General features: G+C 35.2%; 1 protein-coding gene across 9 annotated transcripts in view; it reads right to left on the minus strand.

Annotated features, from left to right (window-relative positions):
• Positions 1–2,821: 2,821 nt before the first annotated feature.
• Positions 2,822–13,406, minus strand: part of FAM3C (FAM3 metabolism regulating signaling molecule C) — a 47,519-nt gene continuing 36,934 nt past the window's right edge. For all 9 annotated transcript variants that reach the window (XM_047419775.1, NM_001040020.2, NM_014888.3 and 6 more), the window contains 2 exons: positions 5,087–5,213; positions 2,822–4,494 (listed from right to left, as the gene is read on the minus strand). In XM_047419775.1, the coding sequence (XP_047275731.1) occupies positions 4,405–4,494; positions 5,087–5,213 (217 nt within the window). In that variant the 3' untranslated portion in view covers positions 2,822–4,404. The remainder of the gene's footprint in view (positions 4,495–5,086; positions 5,214–13,406) is intronic.

Raw genomic sequence — 13,406 nt, forward strand, 5'->3', positions numbered from 1 at the left:
GATTCCCAAGGGTGACCATTAGTCTCCTCTGCTTTGAGGGATATACTTATGGAAAACAGAGCAATTCTTTTCAACAGGTAGATGTCCAAATCGGCCATCTTATTCCACTGGTGATACAGGAGGCTACAATTTGGTGGGGAAGTCACTGGCCTCACTGTTGAGTTTGTTCTGTGTCAGAGAGGGCCAGCTGAGCCCCAGCATCTTCCCCACCATGATCAGTATGCCACCCTGCCCCGCAGCAGGAATTGGAGTGGTGAGGTTATTAGGAGCAGGGATCAAGGCCTGCACTCTCCAGTGAGGCTCATCAACCACCTCCTGCCACAGGAAGAGGTCAGCAAGGGCTCCCAGCCTCTTTGGCTTAAGTCACATACTTTCCCCTAAAGGCCAGACCAGCAATCAAGTAGAACCACTTAAAATGCTAGCTACCTGAAGATACACCAAAATACATAAATTAACCACTTAAAATGGTAGCTACTTGGAGATACATAAAAGCCTGAATTCTACCTATGAAGGGGAGTTGGTGTCAATGTGTAATAAGTGAAAAGGTAGGCAGAATATGAAAGAGGTTTGGAGGTCAAGGAGAACCTCAGGTGAAGAAATGAATGAAACCTCTCCCATGATCTTACTGCTCAAGTCATCTAATGGCTCCCTTCTGGCTGGGTATGATGGGATTGGAAAGCTAGAGAGGCTGACTTGTTGCAGCTTCTCTTGGGCTAAAATGCCTGTAAGACACACGGTTGATAACAGCAATACTAGCAGTTGCACTGAATGAGTACTTTGTGCCAGGCACTTTGATAGGCACCACAAACATGCTGGTATTATCCCTGTTTTACAGGTGGACATTGACTTCCTCAAAGTCCTCAAGTAGTTCACAGTGGAACAGAGATGAATTTTCAGGCAAGTCTGCACTCTTAACCACTATGCCACACTGTCTCCCCACTACAGAATTCTCTCCTCTTTAAAGGTTTTTCAGACCCTTTTCTCTTTGGCTATCAAGTGAAGGAAATATGGGCTGACTATACGGAACATTACGAGCTTGCAGGTTATAAGTCAATTTTCCCTGACCAAAGGGAGTATCTTTTATCAATTTAGCCTCAGCTTGTTCTTTCAATATTAAATGCACCCCAGTGGTTGTCATAACTGATGCAGAGCTGAACAGTGAAGTTAGTGATGGCAACAAGTTGTACCTGTGAACTAGTTGTACTGAGAAGATTGTCTTCCCCATGCTAACTTTGCTTACAAATTGCCATGGGACAAGCCCAAGAGAAACATCTCTTCTGTCTTTAACCTGAGAACTTCCCAGTCCCTTTTCCTTTCTGACCGCTCATAGAAGAGACATCTAACTATTTGAAGTGTTTCCCCAGTATAGCTTCCCTCAAGGTGTTTGCCCCCTCACTGGCCTGGAGGAAGGTTCTGATGGCAGAAGAGTCTCTTAGATTCCCTGGAGGGCTTTTCCCATGCTGCCTGAAACATCCTTTGATGCTCTCTTCATGCTGTCTAGCAACAAATGAATGACATTCCCTCGCGAAGCCTGCTTACTTTTCACTCCATCTAGCCTTTGATTTGCCTGGAAACTCAAAAAAAAAAAAAAAAAATCACAATAAGGAGCAAGCAGAGAAAAAAGGCTTAAATTGAGCGAGTTTGGATGGAAATAGAAATTAACTAGTTACAGCATGTGATAATCAAAAATCAAGTATGTGGTAGAAAAATCATTCTGAAAAGAGACAGAAAATCCTTTTGAGGAATGCAAAGGTGCAATCTGTTATTTTATTCTATAGCTCTAAATTTACATGGATTTATTGCTGTACAAGAGGTTGAAATAATTGAAGAGGTTTAAGTGACAAATCTCCCTAATCAACACAAGTAATTTATCTCTCTCATATTCCTTTGAAACAAAGTATTCTAAATGAATTTCCACTTTTAATTGCTCTACTAACTGAACATGGCACATTTTGCATTCAATTAAGGGAGAGTTTGTTGACCAAACTGAATGAAATTATAACTTTTTTGGTCAAGTTATTTAAAATTTATGTAAATTTTTAAAGTATAAAGTGCAACAGGCTAAATGAACTCAGCTTTGATCTGTCATAAAATTATAACATAGCTGATTCACTTAAAAACAAGTCCAATATAGAAAGAACAATGATAAATTTCCCATTAATCCAATTAAATTCAGGAATATAAAGACTCTGGTTCAATCTTCCTTTAATTTCCCAAATACCACTTATTTTCCTGCTTTCTCTTGTTCAATTTTAACATTCACATTACAATACACTTATTCTGGGACAGCATCGGATTACAAATAAAAAATATGCATCGATAAGCCCATAAGCACCATTTCAAATACTATGTCAATGTTAATTTGATTTTAATAAAGAACATTCTTAATATTAAATGAGCACTGTTTCATGTCTAAAACCGATTTTAAAGAGGTATCTGAAAATGTAGTATAAAGTTATTGCTTTCAAAGTTAAGTTGGCACAATCTATACAAGATTGAACTGAGACAAAAGGAAACCACACCAGTTAACATAACCAATCTTTGTCTTCTTTTAACATTTTATATATCTGGAAAAGCTATCCTTTTACAGTCTTAATAAAAGGGCTTTTTCCGCCATCTAGATACTTAGCTTCTTACATGTTAAGACACATCTAGGATATTACTATTTTTAACCACAGCAACAATTTTTTTTCCAAGTTAGGCAGTATAATAAATGCTTGAAAAACCTTGTGTGAGTTTTTGTGAAGTTCTGTAGGTATATTACTTTGCCAGATAATACAAAAAAAAAAAAAAATTCACAAAGCAAAACCAAGAGTATTTATTTTCATTATTTTAAAAAACTGCAACATTTATTTCACAATCCCTGGAACTGTAAAATAACTATTCTTTTAATTTACAGAATTGAGGGAAGTATTTTAAATGTCAAAATACACATGCTGAATGTGATTTAGCATATAAGCACCAAAAATCCCAAAAGTATACAAAGATTGTTTAAACATATAAGGTGCATTTATTCATGAATTAATTACATTCAGTTTGAAGGAAGAAACAGTACTCCAAAGTTCATCAATATTTAAGAAATTATCCGAATAGCTTCCAACTTGGTTTACAGCTAAATAACAGATACTGCTTTTAGGTTTTTTTATACAATGCATCTAAACTTTAGGTTCGAAATTTAAGTGCTGCCTTACACTGTGAATGGCAGTTTGATCACTAAATTTATGTTCCAGTTTGAGATACTTCATACACAACATATATTTAATGCCCTGAAAACTTCTGCTTAAAAACTGAGTTATTTAGTGAACATCTGAAGGTAACAAAAAAAGATAGATCTTCTATATTTTTATGTAGAATTGGGTATAAAGTCATTTGGGGTCAAACACAATTATTTTTTAAATGTTATCAGTCCGCCCAGTAATAAGAACTTTTGTAAATATGCCACTATAGCTTCGGGCAATAATTGCTATTATGAAGTTAGATAAACACAGGATTAATTTCTTGGTTTACAAATCAAAATTATTGTGATATTAAAGCATGCCTCCTTCCAAACCACTTGGTCAATGCTGATAACAATTAAGAAAAACGTATGCTAGTATTGCTCTAAATATACTGACTTAGCTGTCCTGAATGACCTAATTAGGTTGGGGAGGGGACTTGGCCTGGTTCTCCAGTTCTGTGAAGCTGCCACCTCCAGCCTCACTCTAAATAGCTTATACAAAATCAAGTTATTCCCATAGCTAACACAAATCCAGCAAGCTGTGGTCCTAAATGCCATCTACATTTATATATTTACTTTTTTACTGTGTACATTAAGAATTTTGTTGTGCTTTTCACATATCCGATGTATGTTTTCATATTAAACATTCCTCAGTTTCTTGGGAAGGAAAGAAAAAGATCATGAAAAGAGGTACATCAGGAGAGTCGGACTGTAAAGTAACATTACACACACAACTAGCCAAATCTCTTTTTAATTTAAAAGATAATGTCATCACAACGCAACATATAGAAACATAAAAGAAAATAAAGTATCCACCCTAAAATCCCTATTATTCCATGATATTTTCATAGCAACTAGTATATATATCAATATATTTTTCACAAACCATTCAGTTACACATTGTGTATGCTTTTAGAATTTAAAATATGTATTACCATAGCAGTCTAAACATTGTACTTTTAGGGAAATGTGCGGAGACATGGTTCAGTGATTTGATCATTGTGATGATTATTTACAATGCTATCTATTTACGTTAGCAATAAATAATCCTGATATCAAAAGAGACAATACTCATGCACACACCAAGATGGCTGCATGCTCTTAAAATATTTACACATAGCTCTGCCATTTATAGCTCTCCCATTAAGAGTGAAAGTGCGCTTTCTTCAATTCTCTCCACATTTCCATTAGTCTTGCTTCTGGGGGATGCATCCTTCCATTTCTACAACTTCAGGCCATCCTTCATATTTGTTTGTATCCTTATTGTTCTTTATGTGCTATTGGAACACAGTAATAATATACAGTTTAAAAAACCGTTGTAAACTGCTGATTTGCCGTAACATTTTACACACTTCTCATTTCAGTAATACTCATGTCAACAATAAGTTCATTTAAATTACTGGTCAAGATATTAAATGAGTGACCCTCAGGCTGTATCACATACATGGCAGACCTTCAAATAACAGCTGAAAGAATACATTGCACGTGCTTTTAAAGGATTATTTGCTACTCAAAAACTAACATTTACATTCTACTAAGTTCTAAAATATTTCCAAACTTCACTGATTCTAAAATCCAAAGCTCAATTAAAATCCTTAATAACTAAAGCTTCCGAAAAGGCTTAAGATAGGTAATCCTATTCCAATGCATTGTCCTGTAGGAAAAAATATTCCCATGCAGAATTTTCAAGTTTTGAAATTTAAAAGTACGATAGTTATTTCAAATAACTGATTACCAAGAATTTATGACAAATATATGATCATATTTACTATCCGCTTTATCTAATTTTCAAATAGCTGGGATGGGAAAATGTACCGTAAGGTTTCACAGAATTTGTTTTTGTTAATTCTGAGAGTCTATGACACTAACCTGTTCAAAAGGGCTTTTTGTCTTAATGCCCTTCCCACCACAGAAGACCCAGTTGTCTCTAAAACCAAGATTAGTAATAGATGTGCTCCCCAAATCAGCAATGAGCCGCCGTGCCTCATCATTGAGTCTTGAAGAGGGAGAGAAAGAATACAACAATAAACAGAGGGAACTGTATGCTAATACTGGTTCACTGGGATATTAACACAAAACATGAGACAAAATGAGACTTTAAATAACAGAACATTTTGGAAAATAATTTTTTTTCAGAGTTACATTTCTACTGGTTGAATTCTTTAGTGACAAAAGACATGAACTCCAACAATTAATTTTAAGTTTATTCTATTAAAAGGACCTGTTAGGTTTTTATTTCACAACAATTCACCTTCATTTAACTTTTTAAATTACACTCATCAAATAAATAAGGGATACCACAGTTAGTAGATGCCTATCCAGGCTATCCAAGGTCTTAAGCAATCAATATTTTTATAAAATTAATCTTTTTGAATCTCCACTAAACCCTCTGTAAATTACATTTGACCAGAATAAAGGTAAATGCTGACAAAAATCTGTATGTTTCTAACACTATGTTTTATTTAAAAGAAAATGAATTTTGAGAACAGATATATAAATTGTACTTCAGTGATAACTGCCAAGTGGTTACTTAATAAAAATGAAAATATTAACCACACAGCAGCTAAATGCCTACTAGCAGGAGGTGGAGCAGTGACAGAAGTCAACCACCAGGGAAACTACTAATTGAAAGATGTCCCTAAAAAATTTTGTGTAAGTGATCATCCTAATGGTCAATGATTTTCTCTCCTTTATCTCTAAGGAGAAAAGAAACTCAGAACATAAATGGTAGCTATAGAGCTTAAAAAAAGAAGAAGAAGAAAAAATTAAGGGCTACTTGTACACATATTTGGCATTGAGTCCTATATACTGCGCAAAAGACAGCTCTAACAGGTCACTTAGAGAGGTTTGTTCTGCTAAAACCTGAGGCAAGGCAAGTTTATATTTCCAAACAGCAGGAAAGTCAGTGAGGAAGGTACTTATTCATTCTACAGTGTTCTTTCAAACCTCTCATGCTAGTATCAAGTAGCTCCTTTAATATCTTAGTGAAAGAAACACTACATAGAACAGTTCTCATTTAACTAAAGAAAAAGGGATACTCTTATGGTTTTTTTAAAAAAGCTTCATAAAACAGGAAAGAACTACATATATCATTAAACTTTCATGATTGATGCCCACCACATCCGTGGGGGCTGTGGAGCTGTTTTGGCCACAGCCTGGGCACTGCTGTCCACCTGGAGGAAGTTCACTAGAATCAGCAAGAAAATAAGCCATAGCCTGTGGAGCATTTAGCCTTTCAGATTCGCCTCCTATATTAAGTGGTACATTTATAGCCAAGTGAACTAAAAAGAAGTGAAATGACTGTGCAGAAGAACCAATCTCAGCCTCTGTGAAGATTGTGAGGCCTTCACATGAAATCTGTGCATATGCACTGGCTTTCCCTCCACAGTTCCTCTGCAGCTTCGTTTCCTGTGCCCATCCTTACATGAATTATCCATCACTTTCCACTTGTTTGCTCACTTGATAACCAACTTTGGTGCTAGAGGGAAATGCCCCAAAATTATCACCTGAACCTTGTTTTCTTGTTTCCAAATGTTATTGGGATGCCATGGATCTAAAAGGCTGTCAAATTCCACTTGCGTAGTTTATCCAAATGTTCTATTTTCTAACTACCTTATGGAAGTCTACACTTGCATCATCAGCACTAGCGATGAGTTTTGCTGCTGTAACAAGAATAAATAGTATTGAAATGTCTAGAGCACAGGCAGTAGGCTCAGTGGTCAGCTAAATGGACTGCCTCCTGCAGAGAGGCTTTGGGGTTCCATTCACATTTACATCTCAAAAAAATTATGAATTGATACCTCACAGGCCTTTAGGGTGGCTCATAAACAGCTGAAATGATGAATGTGAAGTTCACAAATGTTAAGAGATTGCTTTACACAGGAAAAATTCCCTGCAAAATAGAAGGTTATCCAAACGCAGGTCCAGCTCCCTGCCAAAAGTAAAATCTTATCCAAGAATTTTGCACCAACTAAGAAATATGTTGAAGGGCAGTCAGGCATTCTTATTTTTGTACTCCTGAATTTCAGAAGTGACCATTATGATCTGTATGAATAAACCAAGCTGATTTACAATCAAGCCAGAGATCAAGGAGAAACTTAAAGATTGAGCTTTATGTTTTAACTCCATTAATCTTATTCCTTGCTTTTCCATTAGAAGATACTGAGATCCTGTGCAGATATGCATTAACATAGCAGGCCTGAGCTTAGAAAGGCCTACTAGCAAGACTGACCCTTGGCTATCTGGCCACTTGGATTTGCGGAGGGCTCCTATCATTTTCAAAACTGATAAGAATGGTTCATTGTGTCTAAACTGTGGGCAAAAACAATGCAATTTATGCTGAACACTTGTTTTCTCTCTGGGAGTCTGGTATTTTGCAACAGGTTAGGCAGAGGGTGCCTACATGACCAGCCCCTAATAAAATCTCTGGGCATTGAGTCCCTAATAAGCTTCCTTGCAGACAACATTTCCCATGTGTTGTCCTAACTGGTTGCTGGAAGAATTAAGCATGTCCTGTTTGACTCCACTTGGGAGAAGACTCCTTTGTCCCTCCAGACTTTGTCCCATGAACCTTTTCCCTTTGCTCATTTTGCTTTGTGTATTTTTGCTTTAACAAATCACAACCATGAGACCTACTGGAGAACTGTCAAAACTGGGAGTGGTTTGGGGGACGTCTAACACATAGCCCTGTGTATATCTAACTACAGTTTTATAACAAGATGACTTTGTCAATGACTTCTAACACTTTCTGATCTGCCTATGTAGAATTTGGTTGATTATTTTATTATTATTTTTAGATATCTTCTGTGTAACTAAGTAAAAAAAATCTTTATATTTCAAAAGTTTAAAATCATGTAACATAGCCAGTATTTAATTGAATATACAGGAAATGTCAAAATGCCCCTTTTTTAAAAAAGCCAGGGCAGCAAATATATTTTTATATAGCATAAAGGTTGGAGATACAAGCTTTTTATTCCACATAGGGCACTCTGAGTTTGTTACATATATTTTAATCCTTACTAATGGTCTTAACTAGCTGAGTTAAAAATTTATGTCAAATATATTATTTTAGTGAATAATTTTCTTCAAAATGAACAGAAAATTATCCTGTGATAAACCAGGATAGACAGAGAACGGTATCAGGTTTTGCTAGAAGACAATCTAATGCTGCCCAGAGGCAATCTAAACTAGAAAGGGAGGAAGTGGGAACTGGACACAGGAATCTGTGGGTTCTGCCTCAATCCTTGCTGGGAAAGGAGGCACATCGGATAGTCCTACAGTTGCACCATCAAACCAAGCCAATGCTGCCTTTCTGGAAGCACAGAAAGCAAGACGGACAATATTAATGGCTCAATTCTGATTAATAGGGAAGAACAAGCTGGGAAGGAGAAAGTCTGGAAGAAAATCGCCATATTACCTCAGGGCGTTGAAGAGTAAGAAATGCTAACTATATAAGGCATAAATGACGACCCAGCCTAGACTTTAAAGAGAACATATTATACAAAGTTCGGATTAGAAATTTTTATGAGGGAATACGACTCTTTACAAACAAACAGAAAAACTCTATAATTTTCACTATATAATTGCTAACACTTCCAGAAAAAAATGGAGCATAGTTTCTAAATTAGTGCTATCATAGGGATGTTTTATGATGGACTCAAACTTAAGAAAGGAAGTGTGCAAAAATACAAAGCAAACCACATTACTAATGACAAAATTTTTAATACTACTAACCAGGAAGACCTGTAGTGCTCAGAATGAGATGAAACTCATAAAATTATTAAAAGCCACAGAAACAGCTTTTGCTACTAAGTGTGAATAACAAAGGGACTCACTGTTTCATGAGAATGATATATCATCCAACCAAAGCATGACTATCTTTTACAGGGAGGCAAACATTCTTTGATCAACATAAAAAGGGAATAGTAGCTCAAGAAGTCCATGTAAGTGCTCTAAAGTAAATTTAAGCCTCCAGTCCTGTAAACCCCCTCCCCCACTTCACACTTTTAGATTGTAAAGGAACTTGTTGAAATAATCATCAAGGTAGTGTCAGTTATTTTAGAAGCCTCATGGAAAATGGGAGATGCTAAGACATTATCCCTGTTTTCAAAAAAGGCAACAAAATTTTAGAAATAATGGTCCAATAAAACTAATGTGAATTCCTACCAAAATCCTTGAAGGGATGACAAGAAGATCCTGTGAGCATTAAAAAGCAATAAGGAAAGAAAGGGAAATAAAGGGGAACTAGTGGGAAGGAGAGGGAAATAAGTAAAGCCAAGTTAACGTCATCACAACTATTTCAGCTTTTGAAGAGGTTTTCAGGCAGTAGATCAGGGTACTGCAATTAGCACAGTCCATGAATTTCAAGTGAGCATATGATAGTCTCAGAAAATAACCTCTATGAATAAAATAATGAAATAGCAGCTGGATGGTATTCCTGGTAGGGTACACTGGCAACTGTTTGAAAAGTAGTTTCTGCAGCTGATTAACAGATGCATCCCTTGGAGGAAGCCTCTAGCAGGGTGGCACACCGCCCTTGGTAAACATTTTTATCAATGACTTATATTTAGACATAAGCATGACTTTGAAGAGAGTACAAAGCCTGGATCATGGAAACTTCATAGGACGAATGTCAGAATCAAGACCAAGTGGGCCTACATCAGCAAAATTAAATTTAACAAGGATAAATGAAAATAAAGGCCTTCATTTAGGTTAAACAAAATCAAGTTCTGAATGAAGAGAAAGACCTGATTTGACAGTGGTTTAGAAAAAAAAAAAAAGGCCTGAGATCAAATAAAAAGATCTGAGAATTTAACTTGACCAAAAACTCACGAGCCAAAAATGTAATGTGACTGTTTAAAGAAAACTAATACAATTCTAGTCTGCATGAATATTCAAAGAAATGTAATCTCTGAAACATGGTAGCTAGCATCTGCATTGTACCTTGTACTGGCCAGACCACATCTGGAACCCTGTGTTTGATTTGATGCATTCATTTTAAGAGAGACAATAATCAACTAGAGAATGCCTAAGAAATATAGCCAGGAAGATGAAACAAATTAGAAGCTATACATGACAAAAAGTTAAAAGAGCCTGTGTATTAAGCCGGAAAAAGAGAAAACTAAAAGAAAAATACCAATTAGCTTCAAATACCTGAAGTATCAAATGATTTGGGGAATACACTTACTGTTTTGTTGTTCCATCTATCCAAATTAAAGAACATCAGGCAGAATTTAGAGGGAGACCACTCTGAGAATGTAACACTGTACTGTGAATATTTTGTTTCAATCTATTTCAAATGGAGAAATGAAAGGGTACTGGCACATTAAGTAGGTAGGGTGTTAAGTAGAGGTATTCATAGAGAACAAGAGAATCTTGCCCAGGCTCCAATGCTGCTTTAGGTGACCTTTAAGATCCCTTCTTACTCCAAGACATTCATATTGAAGCCCTTCACGTAGGCATAACATGTCATAGAGTATTCTCTCCAAAAGGAAGAATACAATTGGCAAGTTTAGCTTGCTCATTCAAACCATTATCTCCTTTATAACCAAAGAACAACTTATTTTAGTGAGGGTCGGGGTGGAAAGTAGGTATCATTAGATAACTGTACTCCCTGAAGTGTTAAGTTTTCTTAGATGTAAGTTTTTCTCTATCTTGTTTTTTAAATGGGCTTCACAGAATCAAGAAACACCATGATTAACAAAGGAAAAGATGTTTCTTTAGGGCAGAACTTCAGAGCCTTTCATTGTGAATCCCGAAAAGGGGCAAAATATAAGGTACCATCCTCAAACTTCTTTGACCATTATATGTACTTGTAAAGGACAGGGGTTCTACCAAACACACTCTGGGAAATAATGTGATGGAGATCAGTCCTAGTCAATCTGCTGAAGTTCATAGCACTGCAAAGCAGGCTCATCATGATTAAGAGAAACTAGGATCAGAGACGACGAGAGAGAGAGAGTGAGTGAGTCAGCTGGGTCCTGCTTTCTCTGGTTAACATGCCACCCAACTTTCTCTCTTGGAAAGAGCAGGGACATTCAGTGTACGCACTTAACTTTCTTGAGTATAAGTGGAAGAAAACGAGGTAAAATTCAATGGCCTTAAATAAGGAAAAGCCATAATACATCAGCAGCAGTAAGCAGAATTTCTATTCATATATAAGAGAGGGTATATAACACAACTGGTAAATCACTGCAAATGTGCCACAATTAGACACCTGCCAAGATAAAAGGGTTATATATATATTAGATGTAGATTGCCTTTCTTAAGGATGTTGTCCATTTCAGTATAAAAGATATGATGCTTACAATTTCTTTTACTGGTATTTAGGAAAAGGAAATATTTGAAATATAAATTCGTGTGCCCCAAACTAATACAACTCAATTCATTTAAATTCACAGATGAATCATATATTGACCAAGTGACCAAACGTAAAGAAATTAAAGTTTAGATTTTTCCTTTTGCCCTAGAGGTTGAACTCTCTTCCAAAGCTGCTTTTGGTGCATTTAATGGGCACCAAAAAATAGCAGTTGAAGAGTAAACATCATTCCTCCCCTAGTTCTTAGTTGTGGCTATAATTTATTATTAGCATATTAGCAGGTTAAGGGGAGCAATTTTGATTCCCATCAGGTATAACAAAATAATCTGGTGAAAAACGGAGGTCATGTTTGTCAAGTCAGAAAAGTGGGGCCTTTTCTTTTTAATGTTAAAACTTCAAATTTTACACGTAATAGCCTATTCTCTCAGCAAAAGCAAATAGCAAGTTACCTGTTTTTTGATGAGAGCCTAATTACATCCTGTTTCATTCTATTTAGGTAGATGAAAATGCTTGAATAGGCGAGTTTTATGTTAACCTTCAATTTATGGATTTAATATATTCTTAGTTGAACCAGATAAAACGCACAATGTCAATGAAATTACTTCAGCTTACAACCATTTATAAAGTATCACTGTTTTCATGTAAATCTGTGATAATGTAGCTATAAAATAATACATTTATAAAAATCAATACATAAAAATACAAATTTCTGTATAAATCTTGTAGTATTAAGGCTCTGTCAATTAAAATCTATAAAATCTATAAATCTTGTAGTATTAAAGCTCTGTCAATTAAAATCTATAAAGGATGTTTTTTATCCTTGATAAGTCATCTGAAGAAAAGTCAGAGAAAAAATTATTTTTTTCTAGAAAGAAGAACATTAAAGGGGATTTAATCTCAACCAGAGAGGCATGAAGTACAATTACTTTTATAAAACAATTTTAAAATAATTGAAATAGTGTCTTTTTGGAACAGAGATAAACAGGTCAAGTGAATGGAACAGAACAGAAATTCCAGAGATAAAGCCAAATCTACATAAGAACATAGGCATTGTGTGTCATGGGGAAATTACAAATGGGTTTTTAAAAATACATGACAACAGTGAAATCACTGGAAGAGAAAATCTACTAAATATCTAACCTGGAGGTGGAAAAATACTTCTCAAGTATACAAGGAGAGTGATAGAAAAATACATAGACTATATAGGCATTAGTCTAAAATTCTAAAATTCAAAAAGCACCCTACACTAACAAAATTAAAAGCAAATAATGTACAATAAATACATTTCTTTTTACATTAGAAATGGTTAATATCCTTAAAACGTGAAGGGGTCTTACAAGTCAAGATAGGCCAACTCGAATGGTCAAAAGACAATTTACATAAAAAGGCAAAAGAAAAAAAAACCACTTGTGAAAAAAATCCAATCTCAATAATAAAGGCATATTAAAATAAGATACCTTTTCAAACTCTTAAAATTGAAACTTAAAAAAATTAACAATTGGTGCCATGGAACTTCTGAGAAAAATATAAAATTGGTAAAAAAATTTTTAAAATCCATTTTTAAAAACATGCACATCCTTTAATTAATCATTTCCACTTTAAAAAAAAGAAGTCTATCTTAAAGACATAGACATGGACTGTTCAAACATTTCTAAGATAGTCTATTGTGCTAAGTATGCAAATTGGAACTAGTCTGGGTCCAGCAATAGGCAACCCATTAAACAGGTTATAAATCATGACATTTTAAAAACCAGACTAGGCAGGCATAAACAATTTTTTATAAAGAATATTTAATAATAAGGGGAAATATTCACCACGTAAGTGAAGAGATATGCTATAAATACTAGCATTCTAAATATTTAATGCCAAAAA

The sequence above is a fragment of the Homo sapiens genome, chromosome 7, assembly GCF_000001405.40.
Source record: "Homo sapiens chromosome 7, GRCh38.p14 Primary Assembly".
NCBI classification, from domain to species: Eukaryota; Metazoa; Chordata; class Mammalia; order Primates; family Hominidae; genus Homo; species Homo sapiens.